A 25,923-nucleotide genomic window follows, 5' to 3' on the forward strand; every position below is an offset into this window, starting at 1 on the left:
GTAGAAAACAAGTGCTATAAAATTGATTGTTTCTTATTCCTAGAATTGTGCTTTTCCTGATTCATGTTGTCAATTATTTAACTCTTCATGGCTACAGGAGCCCTTTCAACAAGATGGACTTTCATAAAGGAAAAATACTATATGAAGCATCACTATCATAAAGATGCTTTTCCACTTTCTCCAAATGTAATTTATATATCATAATGCTTTATCAGCAATATTTTCAAGAAAATTTATTTTTTGTTTTTCTGTACTACAAATAATATCTATAGCTTCAAAATATGTTATGATTACCATCGTGAATCTGAATTTAGCATTATTTTTATAGATGCTTGCTTTTTAATTTATATATTTCAAGTCATGCCCCAAAATGATCAACAAATTAATAAATTTATATAATGCTTTTATTCTTAAATTAATAATTTGAAACACATACCTAAAAACTTGATTAGAGTTTTGACTCCTGTGTCAAAGGATTTTACATGCTTTCATATGAGTATGTAGATGCAACATTTTGAACCCAGAGGGAAAATGTTGTTTATGTATTTTCTTATTCCAAAGTTATTTATTAATTTTAGTAAATTTTTTGCTTGTTTGTTTTGTTTCTGGCACTGATAATATGTAATGTGAGAGTGGGGGCCCTCACATAGTCACACAATTGGTTTTATATAGAATGTTACCATCACCTGAATCTAAATAATGTCAGTTTGATTTACTGTATAAAGTTAAGATAATTTTATGGTTTTTTTCTAGGATAGAATTTAGGCCAAAGAAAATTTACAGCTTTAAAAATATCTTCATTAATTTTTTTCCTTGAGTTGGTTAGTCTTGTGAATAACTTTTTTCCAAAAATTTTAAAATTAAAAAAATGATAAACTGTTTTATCTACTTGTAATCGGCTAGCAGTGAGATACAGTCACTCAAAATACTTCAATCCAGATTAAGGGTTACCAGGATATAAAAGATTGGAGGATAATTTAATTATTTAAAGTGATAAAACATGGAACATCTCCAGGTTAAACATATTGAAGAGGAAGATCTTCATTTCTAAAATAATAATAATATTAATCAGATGAAAGTTTAAAAATCACCAGAGCATCTAGTTAGAAAAGGAGCCAACTACTTAGTCTTAGATGATGCAAAATGGAGAAAAAAGTTTGAGTTGATTCGGTGACCAGAGCTTAGTATTGAAGAATCACATGGTCCAAGTGAAGCAGGTTGTTCATGACAGATCAGCTAGCATAATGAACTAGATAAAAGCTGCTGCAAAGTCATTTAACTCTGAGAAGGGAAATCGTCCTTCTCTCTTACATGCCAAGAGGAGCTCTCCAGAGGAATTTGCTTATATGCCACAATACAAGCCATGGTGGATTAGCTTTATGATGATTAAGATGTTTATCAACTTATTATATTTCCTACTCAGGTCATTGTAAATGTTGTGATTAAGTGGGCATGTGTTGCACGGGTGTCTCATGTAAACTTATTGTTATAAAATCAAACAACAGTCCAACAGCCGTATCAGCTCCTTTGTTTCAGCATTCTCTTATGGGTTTTTCAGATGTTAAGAAAATTAGAGTGATTAGCACAAGAAAGGGCAAAGACTGCAGCTAGAAATACTTAAATGATAATTAAGGAAAGAATGAAAATGAAGTGGATGTTGATGAATTTCAAGCAAAGTCTTAAGTCAGAGGTTAGATGGACTGGTAGGAGACCTTTGTGATCCCCCAACATTTAATGGTTGAAACAAATCTATTCTGTTCAAACAGGTTGGGATATTTTTAAAGCCAGAAGGCAAAGATGGCAGTGAGAAATCTGAACTGGAATCAACAGGGGCAAATTAATCAGGTTGAAGATTAACAGAGTCTTGGTTTCCTTAGCCTGAGCCCTTGCTGGGTACTAAAATTCATATGTACATGTGTGGTTAAAATGGCCAGGAATGGAGAAGAAATCTCTCTGATGCTTCTTCACATGGAGCCCAATGCACTGTGATTTCAAACCTCTTGATGAAGCCCTAATATAGGACTATAATTAGATGGGCAATATACTCTCTCTCTCTCTCTCTGTGTATATATATGTATATATATAAAATACATATATATTACATATGTAATATGTATATCATATATATATAAAACAATTGATGGAATTAAGGTGAAAATTTGCATGAAAATTGCATTTATGGACTATTGGTACATGTCTAGACATCATGGGAAAAGCTGAACTTACTTTTATTAAGGAGTGATACTTAGTGGAAAATAATTTGTTTTCCAGAATAAGCGGATTTGAAGAAATTCTTATTCAAGAGGAAGTCAAGGGATATAAGTCAGCATGGAAAGATGAAGATTAATGAAGTGAGCCAGATAGACTTGATAAATAATGCTGGATAATGTTAGGACCCAATGTCATGGAATAACTTGTACTCTGACCCAATAGAGCCTCTTGACTATTTTAGTACAGGTGGAGGCTGGAAGTAGCCATTGGGCTGTAGCTCTGTCTTCCAGGCGATGAAACTCAAGGGGCACATTAAAAGGAATCTCATAGGCCTCTAAACTTACAAAAGTCTCGAAAGCATTTGCAATATACATTGATAAACTATGACTGTCCTTACCTTAAGACTATATAAGACACAAAATGTTTCAGTCTCAGATTTTTAAAGACATCAAGTACCACTATAAATGTTTTTAAGTATAAAGGGCTGGTTGTGGTGGTTTATGATTGCAATCCCAGCACTTTTGGAGGACAACGCTGGAAGATTGCTTGAGGCCAGGAGTTTAAGACCTGTCTTGATAACATAGTGAGACCCCTTCTCTACAAAAATGTGAAAATTAGCTGGCTGTGATGGCACATGCTCACAACCTTAGCTACTCAGGAGGCTGAGGCAGGAGGATCACTTGAACTCAGGATTTAAGACCCCAATGACCCATGATTGCATGACTGTACTCCAGCTTGGATGACAGAGTGAGTCACTGTCTCAAATTATAAGGCTCATAATGAGAAGGATTGCTACATTTTTTGAGAAAGCGTTGATATGGTTTGGCCATATCTCCATCCAAATCTCATATTCAATTGTAGTTCCCATAATACCCATGTGTTGTGAAAGAGAACCAGTGGGAGGTAATTGCATCATGGGGGTGGTTACTTCTATGCAGTTCTTGAAACAGTAAGCGAGCTCTTATGAGATCTTATGGTTTTATAAGGGGATTCCCCCACCACTTTGCTCTGCACTTCTCCTTGCTATTGCCAGGTGATGAAGGACATGTTTGCTTCCCCTTCCACCATAATAGTAAGTTTCCTGAGGCCTCCACAGCCCTGCTGAACTGTGAGTAAATTAAATCTCTCTTTTTAAATAAATTACCCAGTCTAGGGTATGTCTTTATTAGCAGTGTTAAAACAGACTAATACAGTAAATTGGTACTGGTAGTGGGGCACTACTGTAAATAAACCCAAAAATGTGAAAGCAACTTTGGAATTGGGTAACAGACAGAGATTGAAACAGATTGGAGTGGTCAGAGGAAGACAGGAAAATGTGCGAAAGTTTGGAACTTCCTAGAGACTTGGATGGCTCAGAAGACAGGACAATGTAATCAAGTTTGGAACTTCCTAGAGACTTGTTGAATGGCTTGGATCAACATGCTGATAGTAAAATGGACAACAAAGACCAGGCTGAAGTGATCTCAGATGGAGATAAGGAACTTATTGGGAACTGGAGTAAATGTCACTCTTGTTAAGTAAAGAGACTAGCAGCATTTAGCCCCTGCCCTACAGATCTGTGAAACTTTGAACTTGAGAGAGATGATTTAGTGCATCTGGCAGAAGAAATTTCTAAGCAGTAAAGCATTCAAGAGGAAGCAGAGCATAAAAGTTTGGAAAATTTGCAGCCTGATGATGCAATAGAATAGAAAAACCCATCTTCTGGGGAGAAATTCAAGCCAGCTCCAGAAATTTGCACAAGTAATAAGGAGTCAAATGTTAATCACCAAGACAGTGGGGAAAATGTCTCCAGGGTATGTCAGAGACAATCACAGTAGCCCCTCCCATCATAGGCCCAGAGGCCTAGGAGGAAAAAATGGTTTTGTGGGCCAGGCACAGACCCCACCGTTCTCCGTACAGCTTAGGGACTCGGTGCCCTGCATTCCAGCTGCTCTAGCCTTGGCTAAAAGGGGCCAAGGTACGGCTCAGGCCATGGCTTCAGAGAGCACAAGCCACAAGCCTTGGCAACTTCCACGTGGTGTTGAGCCTGTGGGTGTATAGAAATCAAGAATTGAGGTTTGGGAACCTCTACCTAGATTTCAAAGGATGTATAGAAACACCTGGGTGTCCAGGCAGAAGTTTGTGGCAGGGTGGGGCCCTCACGAAGAACCTCTGCTAGGGCAGTGCAGAAGGAAAATGTGGTGTCGTAGCCTCCATACAGAGTCCCTACTGGGGCACTGACTAGTGGAGCTGTGAAGAGGACCACCGTCCTCCAGACCCCAGAATGGTAGATCCACTGACAGCATGCACTGTGCACCTGGAAAAGCCACAGACACTCAATGTTGGCCTGTGAAAGCAGCCAGTAGGGGTCTTTAACCTGCAAAGCCACAGGGACAAAGTTGTCCAAGAGCATGGGAGACTACCTCTTGCATCAGTGTGACCAGGATGTGAGACACGGAGACAAAGGAGATTATTTTGGAACTTTAAGGTTTAATGGCTGCCCTACTGGACTTCAGACTTGCATGGGGCATGTACCCCAATTTCTCCCATTTGAAATGGGTGTATTTCCCCAATGCCTATATGCCCATTTATCTAAGACATAACAAAATTGGTTTTGATTTTACAGGTCCATAGGCAGAATGGACTTGCCTTGTCTCAGATGAGACTTTGCTGATAGAGAAAATCTATAGTATAATGCAAAACATTGGAACAGTGTCATCAGTTGTCAGTCTTTCTTGTCTAATAATGACATGTCAAATGACTACTGATTATCTGATCTGAATGTTAAAAACAAAAATCTGTATTCTTAGATATTAAAGTAACTGTTTATTCCACTCATTTTTTCCCACTGCCTCATTAGTTTTCATCTATTCAACCTATATTACATAAAATTTGTCATCAAATTAACATTAATTACATCCCCCCAATACTCCCCTTTATTATTCCTCTACTCAATTTCCTGTTACTTGTTCAAAACTATAGTTGAATTGACATTTCTAGAGTACCAAGTATTTAAGGAACACTTAATTTTAGTGGCCAGAAGACATGTCAGAAAGAGCTGCTTACAAGAGTAAATAATTATAATAAATGTCAAGACTTTGAAACCTTCATTCTAAATCAAGTGAGTAAACCTTGAATCTTTATTACAGTGAGATTAAAACACTAATTTTACTTTGTAGAAGTATTACCTATGAAGTTCCCAGGTTTAGGAATAGTTGGCATTAACATATTAATCATAGTAATTAATTACAAAATAATTGGTGCGGTGAAAATGGAATGAATTTTAGAACCAGACATATAATGGGTTCCTTTATATATCTACTGTTCACTTTTTGGTGATTTGGCAAAATTAGTATAATCTTTCTGAGTTTTCTTTTCCGTACAATGGAATTAACAAATAATACCAAAAGTTCTAGAGGATTCTTGAAATAATAGATATAACCACCCAGGTACAACTTAGATAATCAAAACAAGTTTATTTCTGCCAGTTTCATTATCAGCCTTCTATTAATTTTTATATGCAAAATTCTGGATACTGGACTTAAATTGCCTTTAGCATTTTGCAATTTCTCTTTGTTCAATTGTAACATAAACTAACTTGAGAGAAGTAATACAGTATGTTATTTTAACTCAGTTCATTCCCTTTAAAAGCTCCTATAGTACATCATTCTCCATGATAAAATTAACACAGTCAGATAATTGCCCATCAGGCCTACTTTATTAGACATTTTTCATACTGCTATAAAGTCTATACCTGAGACTTGGTAATTTATTTTAAAAAGAGATTTAATTGACTCACTGTTTTGCATGGCTTGGGAGACCTCAGGAAATTTACAATCATGGCAGAAGAAGAAAGGGAAGCAAAAACCATCTTCACATAGCAGCAGGAGAGAGAAGGGAAAGTGAAAGGGAAAGAGCCCCTCATAAAACTATCAGATCTCGTGAGAACTCACTCACTATTATGAGATCACCATGGGGAAAACTTCACCCATGACCCAATCGCTTCCCATCTCCCACCCTTGATACGTGGAGTTTACAATTTGAAATGAGATTTGGGTGCAGACACAGAGCCAAACCCTATCACCTGCAGTTTCAGAAAATATATTATTTCAGATCAAACAATGGGTATATGAAGTCCTGCAAACTTGATCCATACAAAACATATCAGTGTATTCTTTCATAAAAGTCAAAATGCTGTTGAGAAAACTGATTTTCAGGATTGGCAAATCAATATATATCTTTCTAAGAGTTAGACTTATAGTTAAACCACATAATAATAAAAAATGTCCGTGTGTCAAAAGCCAGAATAAGTGTTGATATATGATTCATGTTTTTTATGTATCTGCCACATGGATGGAAGAACTTCAATCTGTGGAGAGTTTTTAAATGGATATTTACAACTACTTTCATTTTGCCATTATGTTGATGTGATTTTCTTAAATGATTTTTCTCTAAGCAAGGTAGAATTTGATGAAGTTTCTGCTTTGCAAATTAAAGTCATGTCTATTTTTATCTTGTTGCCATTATACTGATGATTACGTGAGTATAATATTTCAAAATTTTCCAAAATGTTTAGTGATATCCTTTTCCACAATTTCTTGATTTATTTTTAAGCAACTAAATTTATATGAGGATTCTATTTTTTAAACTAATTCTTAGAATGACATCTTACTATTATAATTTTTAATCACAAATTACACTAGTGGATTGGTAAGAGATGAAGAAATATTTCAAAAGCTGGTTGGTAAAAGATATTTCCAATAAAAATGGTTTTCCTTAGATTTATCGTAAGAATGTTTCGATTAGAAAGTATTATACAGTATTGCTTTAAAATGACTTTAATGCAATATAGTCATTCTTCTATCTGATTTTATGCTACACTATTTGGAAATAATTATAATGTTAATTAAATTTAACTGGATTTTCTTGAATTCGTGGCTATACTAGTCTAATATTTTATGCTCATAGAAAGTATTTCTGTTCATTTATCATTGATATTTATTATTACCTTTAAATTTATTATTTATTATTACAGCTACCCTAAATTACAGGGTTATTTAAAAGCAAATTAAAATTATAAAACACTATTTAAAATAGCAAAATGACTTTGGCAAATATGTACTGTTCTACACATTTTAATTGTAGAATTGTAATGTTAAAAAATCAATGAATTTTCCAAAATAGAACTACATTATGTTAAAAAATGAAGTTTTAATCTAAAAAACCTACTCACTGGTTCTTCAGAAGATTAAACAATATTGATAGAATGCTAGCTAGATTAATAAAGGAAAAGAAAGAGAGAAGATACAAACACAGCCAAAATAGAACTACAATGTGTTAAAAATGAAGTTTTAATCTAAAAACCCTACTTACTGGTTCTTCAAAAGATTAAACAATATTGATAGACTGCTATCAAGGTGAAGTCCCACAATAGGCCATCTGCAAGCTGAGGAGTAAGGAAGCCAGTCCAAGTCCCAAAACCTCAAAAATATAAAAGCCAACAGTGCAGTCCTCAGTCCGTGGCCAAAGGCCTGAGAGCCCTTGGCAAATCATTGATATAAGTCCAAGAGTCCAAAAACTGAAGAACTTGGAGTTTGATGATGGAAGGCAGGAAGCATCCCGCATGGGAGAAAGATGAAGGCTGGAGGACTCAGCAAGTCTGCTCATTCCACTTTCTTCAGCCTGCTTTGTTCTAGCCAAGCTGGCAGCTGATTAGATGGTGCCCACCCAGATTAGGGGTGGGTCTGCCACTCCCAGTCCACTGACTCAAACGTTAATCTCCTTTGGCAACACCCTCACAGACACACCCGAGAACAATACTCTGCATCCTTCAATTCAATAAAGTTAACACTCAATGTTAACCATTACACCACAGAAGCTCTTTGGCTTTACGAGTTAATACAATAAGCCCGAGAATGTTGAAAACTGTTATACTACATAGTAAAGAACAGCTTATGAGGATTTAATTAGAGAGGAAGGGAACAAAGTTAGGTGAGAAACAGTGAGGGTTTAAACTAGTGACATTGGTAAAGAAGGAAGATGGACAGATTCAGTGACATTTAAATATACCTGAGACAGAAAATTTTCGTTGATTCATTTTGAAATATGAAAGATTTAAGGATGACCCAGGGTTACTTAGCATGAAGAAATTGATGGACAATGATCCAATTTACTGAAGGGTGAGAAAAAGTAGGTTTCTTTTTTGTGGAAGTGGGGAAATGTGGGCTTGTGTTGTGAGGAATTATGAGTTTAGATTCAAATATACTAATTTTTTTTTGTTGGTTCCTATTTTTCAATGCCTTTTCATGAACTATCATTCACATGTATTTCTCAAAATTTAAAACTACTTTTAATAGGAGTCTTTGTACTAATCCCTTATTCTTAAACCCAATTTATCTCTTGTTCCTCAAAACTTGCACCCTCTTAGACATTCAACTTACCTAATTATCCTCCTCTTCCCATATGTTAATTGTTGGCTGTTTTCACGGCTTTGAGTTAACTTTGTGCTTGACATCAAAGCACACAACGTAGCTGCCTATTCAAGAGAAGATTTGCTGGCCGGCTGTGAAGAAATGAGGTCGGCAGACAGCCTTCAGCTCTCAGCTCCCTTAGTGTATGCCTCAGCTGCAGAGAGCTACCTGCCTAGAGGACATGCTCTTCTCAGGAGCAGCCTACTTCTGATGACTGAGGAAGACAAGGGTATAAATGTCCAGTGCTTTCAGTTCAATATAAGACAATGCAGGTGAGCAACTCCTGACAGATTGACTGTGGTTTGCTTGGACTGCATTATGTTTTAACTTGTCCCTCTGCTCTAACCTATTTCCTCCGCCTTCTTTTGCAGATATTTATTCCAAATCAATCCTGCACCAGAAGCTCCATTTCTGCATTCGCTTCCAGAAAACACAGCAGCCGTATGTGAATTTGGGAGTGGTCCCACGAACCGGTTATGAGACGAGGTTTTGGAGCTGGATCACACCTGACACAACTGGCATTGAAAACCTTATTACCAAGAGCCTCTGGCACAAGGTAGAAGTCCAGTTGTAAAAACATTCATTGCTGATGAATTGGGACAGTAGAAGTTGATGGAAAAACAGAATTAAGAAGTGTGGTATATCTGGCACTTCAAACTTTTTGGGAAAAAAAGATAACTGCAAATGCAAAGACAATGGAATTGGATGCTTTTTGCTAAACTGCGCTAATACTCAACAAAAAATAATGAAAAACTGAGGAAAATTTAAAAGTAATTAAAAACCAACAGTGAATGCCAGAGGGTTTCTTTGTAAGGCAAATAAAGACCTTACTGCCTTCTTCAGAAAGGCAAAAAATCTGAGGCCCATGGTGAAGACACAATAATGGCTAAGTGGTTGAACTTTACCAAAGGGCACTGGTAGGGAACACTAGTAACTGTGACACATGAGATGAAGTTATATGGGTAAATGTTTCCAAAGATTTTGATTCCTCAGGCACTGAAACTACAACTTCTGAGCCTGCAGAAATAATCTACCTTTCCCTTCAAGAACTAGAATTATCCATTTGTTGAGGAAACAAAATGCAAAGGGTTTTTCACAAAAGTTGAGTGGCCTCCTTGGGCCACCTTCCCCCCTGTCCATTACGCCTATAATAAGGGTTAATTCACAGTATGACATAAATAGGATGCAAAAAGTCTGATGAGAGAGGAAAAGGCTCTATTTCAAAGGAGCTAGAAAACCTAGGTAGGGGGAATATGTGTATGAGTAGATTCTAAGCGTGCTTGTTCAGTGACACCAGCATATAAAATTGAAAAGGGGGGAGTTGATTGATTTCAAACACTCTCCCAAGATTACAGAATTTAATTCCCTAGGAAGGATCCAAGGAAATGGTATGAATTCACTGCTAGGATGGCTCCTAAAAGAATGAAAAATGTAACAACTAGTTTTGATTAAAGTTGAAATACCAAAGTTGTAATATGAAATGGTGAAGGGAGGAAATAAAAGGCTCAAGGAATTGGACGTGCTGGAATGAATACACTATCTACAGCTGAAAGATGCGGTAAAATATTATGTTCCATCAGAATGCTCAGAGGACAAATTATTCCTAAAAGCGTACGGTTTTCATGGAGAGATGCACCCATAACACTAAAAAGATCAGAGATGTTCTCCTTTGTAGGAAAGGGCTGATTCCATTGGAAAGTTACCACAGAACTTGACTTGAAGATAGCAGAAGATATGATAAAACCCCAAAACAGTAGGGGTCAGCTGACAGTGCTTAACCAACAGAAGGCAAAAGTATGCAATAATCATAATGAGAGTGAAGGTTAAGTGGTTGATAAGGAGGCCTTGCCACATGGGCATGCTTCATGGAGCACAGTCACATTAGGAAGAAAATAAATGGATCTCCAAAAAGAATTTTAAATTTATGTCAAAATCTGTAAGCATCTTGAGTCCCAGTATAAAGACAGGGGCTTAATTCTATAATGTAATTATCCAAAATATTTGTTGGTTGTCTGATTGAGAGTTGCATGGCAAATTTCATATGTTTGGGATATTAGGTAGAGAAGAGTTGTCAATATTTGGAAATTACCTTGTTCAGGAAGCATACAGTAATGAAGATACAAGGAAAAATGAGCTTAAATCAGGACTGGCAAAGGAAATGCAAAGAAGTAAAAATACACAAAAATTTTACCAAAAAATTCTTGGTTATTTTACATTTTGAAAGTAGAAATGAATGAAAAATAATGAAGAGTAATGAAAAATCAAATATAAAGCTAGTTATTTCAAATTACACTAAACACAATAAAACGCTTTGAGTGGAAATTAGGTTTTTCAAAAAATATTTATTGTATGACTTTTCTGCACCTGTCACTGTACTAAAATGTCAACACTGAAATTGCACTCTCTACTGATGATGACAGAAGTAAAATAAGAAAGAAATGTTAAGGGAAAGTAGCAGGAAAAGAATGTTTGCACCTGTCTTTGAGCAGTTAGAAAATTACTCTTTTTAGGAAAAAAAAATAACATTTTTAAATAATGCAGGTACGATGAATGTCACTGAATAATACTATAGCATTGCAAATTAGACATATTAAGAACTTGAAAGATAACAAAAAGCAAACGTAAATTCCTGCCCATATCTTACTTAGTTCATACACTATGTATGTTTAAATATTGTCCTGATTTTAGGTAATGCTACCTACTTCACTGATTTATTAAATAATGCCCTGAATTATCTTTCATATGTTTTATATGAATTTATTTCTTTATTCCACATGAGATATGTTTTTCATAAAGGGTTGGCCTGTATTTTATGATTTATATTCAACTTATCTTCTATAGATCTAGGTCTACTTGAAGCATACATTTTACACATATCTTAATAAATGATCTGGTTACAAACTATAATAAGAGGATTCCTGTTGTAAAAGTCAATGTATGAAAATAAATTGTATTAAATACTTAAAATGTAACCAATGTGATGTCACATTGTGGCTTTTTAAAGTTAGATATATAGTTTTCATATTTATGGATATATATATATGGTGATTTACAATATTACATATAGTAGTTATACAGTGAGTGGCACTATATTATAGAAAGCTTAGTGAAATATCAATTGTGTTACAGAACAAAGAAGCAATTCTGAGTGCCCTCTATGTCTAATAAAATAAATTTTAACTACATGAATAGTAGGGATAGTGTATATGATGTGGGTTTGTAAACCACTTGGATAGTAAATAAAATCAAACAGCAATGATATAGACTGAGTCGTTCTGATTATAAGGAAGTAGAGAAGGAACACATGATTACATTTTCACAACTCCAAAGTAAACTATGTATGTACTCCCTCCAGCAATATTTTCTGCAGATGATAAAATCAAAAGACTGAGAATACTGGGTACTGGCCTTTGAAAGGGCAATTCAAATACCAGGTAGCTTTTGGGGTCAGTGACTGTATTAAACATGACTTGTACATCATTATTTTAATAATTCCAGCAAAGTATATTAAGCATAATTTTAACTTTGAAATTATTTTATAAATCTGGAAATTGTTGGTAGAAATATTTTTTATTTGTAACTCATGGTAATGTGTTTTTCTGTTTTTGCCTCATTATAGAGAAATACTTGAGGCTGGGTAATTTATAAAGAAAAGAGGTTTAATTGGCTGACATTTCTGTAGGCTATACAGGAAATGTGGTCCTGGCATCTGCTTCTGGTAGCCCTCAGGAAACTTACAATCATGGCAGAAGGCAAAGTGGGAGCAGGCACATTACATGGCAAGACAAAGAGAAAGACAGAGAGAGAAGGGGGAGGTCCTAGACTCTTTCAAACAACCAGATCTCATGTGAACTAACTGTACAAGAACTCACTTATCAAGAGGTTGGTGCTAAACCATTCATGGGAGCTTTGCCTCCATAATCCAATCACCTTCTACCAGGCCCTACTTCCAACACTGGAAATTACAATTCAACCTGATATTTGGAGGGGAAAATATCCATAGGACACCAGGTACTCATCAAAGATATTGTGGTGACTTCAAAATACTATATTATAAAGATAAAATAAAATTTAAAAAGAATAGCTTTGTTTTACCTTGAATTATATAGCTTCAATTAAATTTAATTAGACATTTTAAATTTTAATACTACTTCATTTTCTGTTAAATTTTAAAATGTTGTTACTTCATAAGAAAAACAGATTTCATTGCCTGACATATAATTCTATTTCATTTAACATGATTTTTTAGAAAGGTCATACAATCCTAGAATTCAGAATTGAAGAGATTTTCCACTTTATCTATATTTGCTATTTCATTATGTAGTTAAAAAAAATAGAATCTTAGATAAAGTTGATTGTGTAAGCTTGCAAAATTAACATCAGACCACATCTGCTGATGGAAATAAGAACATGATACCCCACAATTACGGTGTCCTGATGTTTGAGAAAACAGCAGATGCAGGAAGAGCTGTCTTACCTTCTCTTCATCCCTTCTCCTTTAAAGCAGGCCATAAAACCTAGCTGACCTACTTCTAAAGTTGGTCATAAGACCTTCATTTCAGAGGTGCCCATCCCATGCAAGAACAAGAGGAATGTTCTTATTTTTGAAGACACAGGAATACGAAGAAGAATCTAGATGAGAAGGCCCTGTTAAGTTTCCACCAGTTTATTACTATTAAGCCACTTTCTTTCGTCCTTGAATAATATTTCTCCACAACTATTCACTTCATCAGACTTAGCACACAAATACACAGATTTCCACATTTCTTTGGGTTTTCATTTATTAAGTGTCCCATGTTACATAAAACTTATGTTACATAAACGTTTATGTTTTTTCTTGTTAATCTATCTTTTGAGTGAGAAAAAAATCTCTTCTCCTCTCCCCACTTCCAAATATTTAGCCCAATCACTGTGTTTCGTATACTTAAAATGTTCTCAAATATCATTGAAAACATTGCATATACATATTTTTCTAATACTTTTAACACCATAAAAGTTAATATAATTCTCATTTGACAGGCCTAGATAATGAAGCCCAGAGCATTATGTAACTTGATCACATGAAAAACTTCATAAGTAGCAGAGATGCCTTTTTAAAAAGTCCATGTATTACATTTTTAATAATTTATATTTAAATTAAACCAAACATTTATTTATTATTTTAGCAATTATTATTCAAGAATTTACTATGGGGAAAGCATTTCACTAAATTTGACAGTTACAAAATACCATAAGGAAGGATGCAAGCACTCAAAGTCTCTGAGCTCTAATTCCATTTTAACTTGGTCCCTGGGTCATTTGTATCTGAATTAACTTGTGTGTGTGTGATAAATGGAGAATCTAGCTCCAAAAAAGAGGATCTCACATGTAAGATTTACACTGTTTTCTTAAACTTCAGGTAAGTTGAATGTACATGAAGTTTTGACTTTTGGGCTTTTGAAAACATTAGTATTGACTGAAATTCATAAGAATTTAGTCATGAAGAACTCTTGTTTAGAAAGCTGACACAGGGCATGAGCTAGCATTTTTTCATATAGGCCTGTTCGTTTTGAATATTGTTACAAAGGCTGCTAATTATTTTAAAATATCTCTTTCCTTTTCTTCTGTGAACCAACTAGACCACATTTTCTCACGACTCTTGTAACTGATGTTGTCCTGAAATTGAGTTCTAATTAATGAAATAGAAGAGACAGGATGTTTCATATTTCCAGGCAGAACTCTCGAAACAGCCCCCATGCTCCTTCATTCATTTTTCCTCTTCTAGCTGAACAGTATAAAACCCCCCAGAACTAACTTCTAAGGCATGTTTTGAAGATCGCTTACGTTACTGCCACCAAACATTCTTCTGTTCTGTAAACATAAAAACAAATCTTTTGGATTTGAGCCTTTACAAATTTAGGGAGCTTTTAATGCATCCTGACCTGAAGTAATACACATTAGGAAACTAAGTTAAGTTAGTATTTAGTGATGACATCTAAATTTAACCACCGGTATTTGTGGCAAGGAAATTAGTAAGAAATAATTAAATTATATTTACAAATATTAAGAAAGCTCTCTGATTTTACTATCCTGAGTCACTTGGTCTATTTATGCAGAAATGATCAATATATTAAACAGAACCTCTTATGGATTCAAATTCTCTTTTGCTGAATTGTTTGGACAATTTCAAGATGGGAAATTATAACATTTTGTGAAATCAGTCTTCCTGATTTTAACTCCTTTACTAAATCATACAGCACAGGCCTGATGTGAATATTTGCTAAAGCTGAATTGCTGTATTGAGCTCTCAGATGTCTGAACATACTTTTCAAATGTCCCTTGAGTCCCTTGACTTAAGAATATTTTTATCTCTGTGCATCAACTTTTAAAAACAGATTCATCTCTTCCCTTGACACCTGTGGTTGTTAATAATTCATCCTGGTCCCCATCTGAAGGAATAATGGGCTAGATGGCTTTCTTTAGTATTTCTGAAATAACCTTTCTATAGAATCACGTTGCACTTATTGTGACTATGCTTATCTATTGAACAGATAAAACACTATTTTAAAGAGCAAAATAAGCTTTAGCTTTTCAAAAAATGAGGTTCAACATAAGTTAAAAATAAAGTCCTTAAGATGGTTACCTTAACTAGCCATCTTTCTTTACCTCATTAATATCAAGAAACATATACTTTCCTTATGTAAGTAAGCTTATTTAGTCACATGCAAACACCATGGAAGAAATATTGCAGCAAATAAGAAATCACCAGAGTACTGGAAAAAAGATCATGTATTATTGGGGAAGAAGACATTTTAAGATTATTTTTTAAAAATATGTATTGGGTTAAAAAATTATGGTAGGCCAGGCGCAGTGGCTCACCTGTAATCCTGGCACTTTGGGAGGCCAAGGCGGGCAGATCACTTGAGGTTAGGAGTTTGAAACCAGCCTGGCCCACATGGTGAAACCCCGTCTCTACTAAAAATACAAAAAAAAAAATGAGCCAAACGTGTTGGCAGGTGCCTCTAATCCCAGCTATTTGGGAGGCTGAGGCAGGAGAATTGCTGGAACCCAGGAGACAGAGGTTGCAGTAAGCGGAGATTGCGCCGCTGCACTCCAGCCTGGGCAACAAGAGCGAGATTCCATCTCCAAACAAACAAACAAACAAACAAACAAAAATTATGGTATATTTGTATGTCTAAAATAACATGCAGATATTAATAACCGTGTTTCAGAGGAACATTTACTGTCATTATAAGGAGCTCAGAGTCTAGTGGTGGGAAAAATAGGATTTAAAACAAAGTTAACTTACATAAAAAAAAGGAAAATAACATGCAGAAAAAATGATAGAAACAAAATAAATATTTATTATCTGCTATTTGAGGGGTTATGGGCATATTTATTTCTCCTATCTAATCTTTTTAATGTTTAAATGTTATTAGTTTGTTGTTTTTATAATCAATATAGTGTTTGAAACATAGGCATTTACTTTTGATAACTTAAAAACACTTGCTCAAAATAAAGTGTTTTCTTGTTAACTTATATATTTTTTCTATTAATTGTCATTTTAGAAAAATGGCATAATATTTATTGAAAACCTGAATTGACATTGTTCTCACTGACAAGAAAAAACTTTGTAAAATTTTGTAAGGCAGGTTAATTTTAATTAACCAAATGATTTAAATTACCTGATTTTTAAAAATAATTTAAAGTTACATAATTCTAATGTAGAATTAGAGGCAAGTCATGGTTACTGGTAGGAAAATTATCAACATTGTTTTCTCCTCCAAATGCCATTGGATTGAATTAATTTATGATCTTTTAATAATAATTTAATGTATAATTTGATAATTTACTTGAAAAATAAATTTTCATTGCTCCTTAATGATCAGAATGAATGCCACTGGTTTGGAATTTTCATTTGCTGCATAGTATATGGGTTATGTTTCATACATTAGCCATTTTTCAGAAAATCTGTAGGAGTTTTACCTCTGATTCTCACAGGCTAGAGACTGTAAAATAGTGGGGCATATGTACCATGGGACTGTGCTTCAATGTGGCACTGCATTGAGGTAGTTCCACAGCTGTGAGGAGTAATGTTTTGCTACAGCTTGCCTGGTATGCCAAAGCTTACTCTGCTTTGTCAAATTGCCCAGTGTAAAAGCAGATGGAGTCCATGAAGTAACCCAAGGAAATGAAGATACTTAATTAAAATAAAGGTGATAATGGGGCCGTGTATCCCAGATGCATCTTTAGAACAGACAATTATGAGGATGCCTTTAGGAAAAGAGAAAGTACAATAACCATTTCCTGGGAAACACAGTTGTATATTCAAGGTATTACTGAGACATCTATGCTCAAGCCATGGAAACATGGGGGCAGGATGAGGCGATTGTGTATGGAGCATTAAATGGATATCACCAAGTTGGTGGAAAAATATGCCTCAGGGCAACTTCAAAAAAAATTATGAGCCCACATCAGAAATCAAAAATACACTATGTTAATAACTGTAGAATAAGATGTGTTCTTAGGACAATGATTGATTGATTAAAAAAAATAAAACAGAGTAGCACTCTTAAGGGAACACCGAGAGCTGATCATATTTCTACAGCATAGCACTAGAAAATGTGTTGTTTACTGTTCTTTCCTTATAGTTGGCCCATGGAGCTAGTTATCCTAATGATGCAATCAGAGTAGATAGAACAGACAGAAGACATGTACCTTGTCATTTCAGAGGTATGCAAGGATACTTGGAAACTTGAAAAACAATATTGATGAAATATTATCTTTGTAACTGCAATATTGCTGTTTCTCCAGACTCATTGTAATACAATATTAAATCATCAATGGCTTTTCATATCTATTTCTACTTATGTAAATATATGGTAAATGTGATAAGACCCCTTTTCCTGAGACAAAAGATGTTTGGTAAACTGTTTATTTAATGTTTGATTAATTACACTTAATTAATTTAATGTAATATCCTTAGACGTTTTGTGTAGTGAACATTTCTGTAATATGTTATCTAGTGCTATCTGTGTGATAAAGAAGTTTTTCTCAGTTTCATGGAAGTTAAGGAGCTCAATATGTTTGTTGAAAGCATACATTAGGTAAAAATATTGGGGAAAATTAGGGGACCTAATTGGGGTATATTATTTCTATTCTGGATGTTATAAACCATTTTAGACATTACTATAATTTTAGCATTGACATATTGTAAATTTCTCCATCATAAGAGATTCGACACAGGGAGAGAAATTCAATACAACTCCTTGGTTGGGGATGAGTCCACCAGATCTACTGATCCACCCCCTAATTCAGGATTAATGCCATTATAATGGCATTAATTAATCCAGAATTAATGCCATTATAATGGCATTAATTAATCCAGAATTAATGCCACTAATCACTGTTACATTTTTCCATTTCCTTAAAAAGAGAAGGCCATGATGACTTGTTTAATGCTCAGATAATGTAAATATTTTACTTTCAAATACATGTGATAATCATGCATCTGTCAACTCAACTTCATCTAAGAGAGATATCCTTTATTTTTACTAATATTAAACTAATCAAATTGTACTCTGATTTTTAAAAAACAAAACAGTAGTAATTAATTTCTAAGCAAGAAATATGTGTCTGAAAAGTATGTGTACACTACTGATGTTACAGCTTAGTGATAGTGAGATCTCCTGTGTGCCAGTTCTGCTTTGATAGGCAGGAGCCCAACAGAGAGTAATATAAGGAGTCTGAGGCCCAGTTAGAAGTTACGGCTGCTGTGGTGCATGTATAAATGTAGATGATAAGTGGAGAACGAGCTAAATCTAGCTCTTTTATCTATTTTAAACAGAATCAGTAAACAATAAGGAGCTGTGGAAGGATGTCATTCATTGAGTTTTTTTTTTTTTTTTTTTTTTGAGATAGAGGATACGCAGTTGTTAGGGTATGGCCAAGCAGTGACGTTTTGCAACTTCTGTCAAATAGGTTGAGTTAACATATGATCTAATGCCTACCACATTCCTGTCAACAAAATGTGTCCTAAGAATACAATGTTTGCAAAATCAACCCTTGTGGACCTTACAGAATAGAACACGATAAATAATGAAAAAGACCACACAAGTGATAGCAAAATTTAAACTAAAATAATTGCTACAGATAAAGGTTTTCAGTCGTATAAAAATGTATAAGAGAGGGCTCAAACCAATCAGGGGGTTCAGTGTTTATTTCTAAGGACATGGTTTTTGAAGTGAGTTTGGAAGGATGTGTGGGCACTGACTACAGGAAGAAAGTCAATGTGGGGAGAGCTCAAGGAGAGAGCACAGCTTCTACAAATCCCCCAAAGAAGGATTGTATAGTTGAAATGTAGAGACTCCAAATCAATGATGATAGTGGCAGAGGATGAAGCCAGAGAAGTAAGCCTGGACAAGACAAGGAGATTTATAAAAAAAAAAATTAAGTTTTTTTCTTCAATTTTTATTTTAAGTTCAGGGGTACATGTGTAGGATGTGCAGGTCTGTTACATAGGTAAATGAGTGCCATGCTGGTTTGCTGCACAGATCATCCCATCACCTAAGTATTAAGCCCAGCATCTATGAGCTATTCTTCTTGATGCTTTCCCTCACCCAACCCCTGCCTGACAGGCCCCAGTGTGTGCTGTGTTCCCCCATGTGTTCATGTATTCTCGCCATTCAGCTCCCACTTATAAGTGAGAATATGTGGTATTTGGTTTCTGTTCCTGTGTTAGTTTGCTGAGGATAATGGCTTACAACTCCAACCATGTCTCTGCAAAGGACATTATTTCGTTTCTTTTTATGACTGCATAGTATTTCATGGTGTATATGTACCATGTTTTCTTTATCCAGTCTATCATTGAAGGGCATTTACGGTGACTCCATGTCTTTGCTATTGTGCATAGTGTTGCAATGAACATACATGTGCATATATCTTTAGAATGATTTATATTTTTATGGGTATATATGCAATAATGGAATTGCTGAGTCAAATAGTATTTCTGCCTCTAGGTCTTTGAGGAATCACCACCCTGTCTTCCACAATGGTTGAACTAGTTTACACTTCCACCAACAGTGTAAAAGTATTCCTTTTTCTCTGCAACCTCGCCAAGATCTGTGGTTTTTTGACTTTTTAATAATAGTTATTCTGATTGGTATGAGATGGTACCTCCTTGTGGTTTTGATTTAAATTTCTCTAATGATCAGTGATGTTGAGTTTTTTTAATATGTTTTTTGGCCACATGTATGTCTTCTTTTGATAAGTTTCTGTTAATATCCTTTTCCTACTTTTTAATGGGGTTATTTGTTTTGTTCTTATAAATTTAAGTTTCTTATAGAATCTGGATATTAGACATTTGTCAGATGGATAGATTGCAAAACTTGCAATGGATAGATTGCAATCCTATTCTGTAGGTTGTCTCTTCACTCTGATGATAGCTTCCTCTGCGGTGCAGAAGCTGTTTAGCTTAATTAGATCACATTGATCAATTTTCGCTTCTGTTGCGATTGCTTTTGGCACTTTCATCATGAAGTCTTTGCCTTTGCCTATGTCCTGAATGGTATTGCCTAGATTTTCTTCCAGGGTTTTTATAGTTTTGGGTTTTACATTTTAATTATTTAATCTATCTTGAGTTAATTTTTGTATGAGGTGTAAGAAAGGGGTCCAGTTTCAATTTGCTGCATATGGCTAGCCAGTTATCCCAGCACCATTTATTAAATAGAGAATCCTTTCCCCATTGCTTATTTTTGTTGGGTTTGTTGAAGATCAAATGGTTCTAGGTGTGTGGTATTATTCTGAGTTTTCTATTCTGTTCCATTGGTCTGTGTGTCTGTTCTTGTACCAGTGCCATGCTGTTTTGGTTACTGTAGCCTTGTAGTACAATTCGAAGTCAGGTAGTGTGATGTTACAGCTTTGCTCTTTTTGATTAAGATTGTCTTGGCCATTCAGGCTCTTTTTTGTTTCCATATAAATTTTAAAATAGTTTATTCTAATTATGTGAAGAATGTCAATGGTAGTTTAATAGGAATGACACTGAATTTATAAATTACTTTGGGCAGTATGGCCATTTTCATGATATTGATTCTTTCTATTCATGAGCATGGAATTTTATTTTTCTTTTTTCATTTGTTTACTCTCTGATTTCCTTGAGCAGTGGTTTGTAGTTCTCCTTGAACAGATTGTTCACTTCGCTTGTTTGGTGTATTCCTAGGTATTTTATTCTTTTTGTAGCAATTCAGAATGGGAGTTCATTAATGGTTTGGTTCTCTGCTTGCCTGTGGTTGGTGAATAGAAATTCCAGTGATTTTTGCACACTGATTTTGTATCCTGAGACTTTGCTGAAGTTGCTTATCAGCTTAAGAAGCTTTTGGGCTGAGACAATGGGGTTTTCTAGATATAGGATAATGTCATCTGCAAACAAAGATAATTTGACTTTCTCTCTTCCTCTTTAAATACCCATTGTTTCTTTCTCTTACTTGATTGCCCTGACCAGAACTTTCAATATTATGTTGAATAAGAGTGGTAAGAGAGTGCATTCTTGCCTTGTGCTGGTTTTCAAGGGGAGTGCTTATAGCTTTTGTGCATTCAGTATTATATTGGCTGTGGTTCTGTCATATGTGACTCTTATTATTTCAAAGTATGTTCCTTCAATACTTAGTTTATTGAAAGTTTTTAACATGAATGGATGTTGAATTTTATCAAAAGCCTTTTCTGCATCTATTGAGATAATCCTGTGGTTTTTGTCTTTAGTTATGTTTATGTGATGAACCATATTTATTGATTCGCATATGTTGAACCAACCTTGCATCCCAGGGATGAAGCCAACTTGATTGTGTTGAATAAAATTTTGTATGTGCTGCTGGATTCAGTTTGCCAGTATTGTATTGAGGATTTTTGCATCATTGTTCATCAAGGTTATTGGCCTGAAGCTTTCTTTTTTGTTGTGTCTCTGCCAGGTTTTGGTATCAGGATAATGCTGGTCTCATAGAATGAGTTAGGGAGAAGTCTCTCCTTTTCAAATGTTTGAAATAGTTTCAGTGGAAATGATACCAGCTCTTCTTTCTACCTCTGGTAAAATTTGGCTGTGAATCCAACTGGTCTTGGGCTTTTTTGATTGGTAGGCTATTTATTACCGCCTCAATTTCCAAACTTGTTGTTGGTCTATTTAGGGATTCAATTTCTTCCTGGTTCAGTCTTGGGGGACATTCTGTCTTTTTAAAAAACCTTTGTTAGCTTAATGTTTGTTTTGTTAGAAACTGGGATTGTGATCCCTCCTTTTTTCTGTTTTCCATTTGCTTGGTAGATTTTCCTCCATGCGTTTATTTTGAGCCTTTGTGTGTCTTTGCATGTGAGATTGGTCTCTTGAAGACAGCATACCAGTAGGTCTTGGCTCTTTATCTAGCTTGCCATTGTGTGTCTTTTTAATGGGCATTTAGCTCATTTGCATTTCAGGTTAATATTGTTACGTACAAATTTGATTCTGTCATCTCGATGCTAGCTGGTTATTTTGCAGACTTGTTTATGTGGTTGCTTCATGGTGTCACCAGTCTGTGTACTTCAGTGAGTGTTTTGTAGTGGCTGGTAAAGGTTTTTCCTTTCCATATTTAGTGCTTTCTTCAGGAGCTCTTGGAAGGCAGGCCTGGTGGTGATGAATACCCTCAGCATTTGCTTCTCTTAAAAGAATCTTATTTCTCCTTCACTTATGAAGCCTTGTTTAGCCAGCTATGAAATTCTGCATTGGAAATTATTTCCTTTAAGAATGTTGAATATTGGTCCCCAGTCCCTTCTGGTTTGTAAGGTTTCCACTGAGAGGTGTGCTGTTAGTCTGATGGGCTTCCCTTTGTAGGTGACCTGGCCTTTCTCCAAGGCTGCGCTTAACATGTTTCATTTCATTTCAGTCTTGGAGAATCTGAGGATTATTTGTCTTGGGGTTGATCTTTTCATGGAATATCTTACTGGGATTCTCTGCATCCCCTGAATTTGGAAGTTGGCCTGTCTTTTGGAGTTGGGGAATTTCTCCTGGATGATATCCTGAAGTATGTTTTCCAACTTGTTTCCATTCTCCCTGTCTCTGTCAGTTACCTTAATCAGTGGTAGGTTTGGTTTCTTTATAAATTCTGTATTTCTCAAAGGTTTTCTTCATTTCTCTTCATTCTTTATTCTCTATTCTTGTCTGCCTGTTTTATTTCAAAAAGAGTCTTCAAGCTGTGAGATTCTCTCCTCCACTTGATCATACTATTATTGATACCTGTGATTGCATTGTGAAATTCTCCTATTGTGTTTTTCAGCTCCATCAGGTCAGTTATGTTTCCTCTTTAAACTGGGTATTCTGGCTATCAGCTCCTGTACTGTTTTATTTCAAAAAGAGTCTTCAAGCTGTGAGATTCTTTCCTCCACTTGGTCTTTCTGCTATTGATACCTATGACTGCATTGTGAAGTTCTCATACTGTATTTTCCAGCTCCATCAGGTCAGTTATGTTTCCTCTCTAAATTGGCTATTCTGGCTATCAGTTCCTGTATTGTTTTATCATGATTCTTAGGATCTTTCCATTGAGTTACAACATGCTCCTTTAGCTCAGCAAATCCCTTATTACCCACTGTCTGAAGCCTACTTCTGTCAATTCAACCACCTCAGTCTTAGCCCAGTTCTGTGCCCTTGCTGAAGAGGTATTGTGGTCATTTGGAGGAGAAGACCCTCTCTGGCTTTTTGAGTTTTCAGCGTTTTTATGTTGATTCTTTCTCATCCTTGTGGGCTTATCTACCTTCAGTCTTTGAGGTTGCTGACCTTTGAATGGGATTTTCATTGATTTCTGTTTGTTTGTTTTTCTTTAAGAACTCAGCCCACATTTCCTGGGCTGCTGTCATTTGCTAGAGGTCTTCTCCAGACCATAGTTGCCTCTTTCTCTTTCCCCCATACCTGGAGCTGTCACCAGTGAAATCTGAAAAACAGCAAAAATGTCAGCCTGCTCCTTCCCCTGGAAGATCCATTCCAGGGGTATACTGACCTGTTGCCAGCCAGAACTTGCCTGTAGGAGGTGGCTGGAGACCCAACTGCTTCTTTAAGCAGGTCCCTGCTTACAAGTGAGAAGGTTAAGTCATCTGCCAAAGATTGCCAAGATTTGCTCAGCACAAAAGTTTCAGAGCAAATAATTCAAATCTAGATAGAATAAGCTCAAGCCCATGGTTTTGTCATTAAGTAGTATCCATCACATTTAGTGTCTGGATATTTTCATATATTACCTGGAGAGAGGCCAAAAAATATAGCTTCTACATTTCCTGTAAATGATCTGAGTTTTCTTATATGCATCTATCAACTGATTGATGACAGGAGGATAGTTGAGCTGAAAGAGGTGTTGGAAGGTAGTACCTTATCAAATGCAGCTTCTAGCTACTTAATTTCACTTTCAACATTTTGCCAGGAATTTTGTTACCTAGTGCCTGATCAAGATGGCATTAACAGTCTCTCAACCTGACTAACCTTTAGACAGTTGTCTTCCTTACTATCAACCACTGATTTCTTTCCCTAGGATTTACTTGGTATTTTCTCTTTTTTTAGGATTTACTTTACAAGATTTGTTATTGTAAATTCTTCCTTTTTCTCTTTGAAATGTATGTAACTCTCCCAGCCTGTTGCGAATTTTGCAACCTAAAAAATGTCTTTCTCAATGACCTGAAAACCATCTCTTTGAAGTGAAAACATCAAAGTAGATAGCATCCCCTATCTCCCAATCTCTGTGGGAGGGAAGGAGCCTAACTTTGATAGGCACAATCAGCAAACACAGATAGCATAATCAAAGAGAAAAACATTGCATACTCAGAAACAAGTCTATTTTCTGTACACATTCATTCGTCAACCTCCCTGCAACTTCTGAACATCCTCCAGTACTTTTCCAGGAGCTCACCCTAGAGGATAAAAACCCTCCCTCTTTTTGATTTAGTAGAGTTGAGTTCAATCTGTCTCTCCCATTATAATGATGTCGAAGAAGATCCTTCTTGCCTGTTTAACTTTGGTGCAATTTTTGCTTTGACATACTGAATGTTTCTTAGATACTTTTTTGTCCTTTTAGTCATTGCAGATGACATTTTACCCAATTTTTTTTCATCACAACATAATATGTGTTATAATTTTCCCAACTTTTCTAACAGTTTTCTTACTGCCCACTGCCTGTTTCCACAACAAATGCTACATATTTCAGATTTCTTTCTTTCTTTGACAATATCCCATTTCTGGTACCAATTTCTATATCAATCAGCTATATTCATATAATGCTGTGTATCAACTACCTCCAATTCAGTGACATATTCTTACATTGTTTTATTTTTCCTATTACAGGTTTGCAAGTCAGTTGGAGAGGCTCATTTTTTGGCTGTGGGTCTGAAGTTCAGCTTGTGTGACTTTGTTTCAGGATGCAGTTCGGTTAGGCTTGGCTCCAACTTCTAAATCTGTTCCATGTGTGTCATTGGTCTATTGCCTCTGTGGTTTAGCCCAAATGATAGCAATGACCCAGTATATGTTTTTCTCATGGAAACGCTAGGAGCTCAAAAAGAAAGACCAAATCACCTTCCAAGTTTCTGCCTACATTGCATCTATTAATATTATAGCAACCAAAGCAAGTCACAGAGCCATGTCTAAAATTGAAGTGTGGGGAAGCACACTCTGCCTACCATAAAAGCATGAGCAGTGTGGGAGTATTTAAGGCTCTTCCAAGGGCCACATTCTATTTCCTACAAAATTGTATTAATATTCACACTGCCACATCCCACTGTCCAAAGCTATAGAAACACGGCTTCAGTAAACGAAGTTATGTTTATTTAATTTTTAATTTGTTGCAGTGAGGTGGAGCTGAATGACTGTTGGCATCTCAGAAAGAAAGAGTAGAGAGGTGTTCATTACAGGATTTGGATATGTTCTGGTTAATTCCAAAGAGAATAAGGGAAATCAGAGACAGATTTAGAGTGAATTCTATAGCAAAAAGGAACAATTAAGAGATAACTTTCACTCGCGTCCTTGTGAAGAGACCAACAAACAGGCTTTGTGTGAGCAACGAGGCTATTTATTACACCTGGGTGCAGGTGGGCTGAGTACAAAAAGAGAGTCAGGGAAGGGAGACAGGAGTGGGGCCGTTTTATAGGATTTGGGTAGGTAAAGGAAAATTAGTCAAAGGGGGTTGTTCTTTGGTGGGCAGGGGCAGGGGTCACAAGGTGCTCAGTGGGGGAGCTTTTGAGCCAGGATGAACCAGGAGAAGGAATTTCACAAGGTAATGTCATCAGTTAAGGC

At 35.7% G+C, this 25,923-nt stretch overlaps 1 long non-coding RNA gene across 4 annotated transcripts in view; it reads left to right on the forward strand.

Moving 5' to 3' along the window:
* LOC105370467 (uncharacterized) overlaps positions 1-25,923 on the forward strand; it is a 186,853-nt gene that overhangs the window by 33,970 nt on the left and 126,960 nt on the right. For all 4 annotated transcript variants that reach the window (XR_007064132.1, XR_007064130.1, XR_007064131.1 and 1 more), the window contains exon 2: positions 9,032-9,216. This is a non-coding gene — a long non-coding RNA (uncharacterized LOC105370467). The remainder of the gene's footprint in view (positions 1-9,031; positions 9,217-25,923) is intronic.

Source organism: Homo sapiens, chromosome 14 (genome assembly GCF_000001405.40).
Source record: "Homo sapiens chromosome 14, GRCh38.p14 Primary Assembly".
Lineage (NCBI taxonomy): Eukaryota > Metazoa > Chordata > Mammalia > Primates > Hominidae > Homo > Homo sapiens.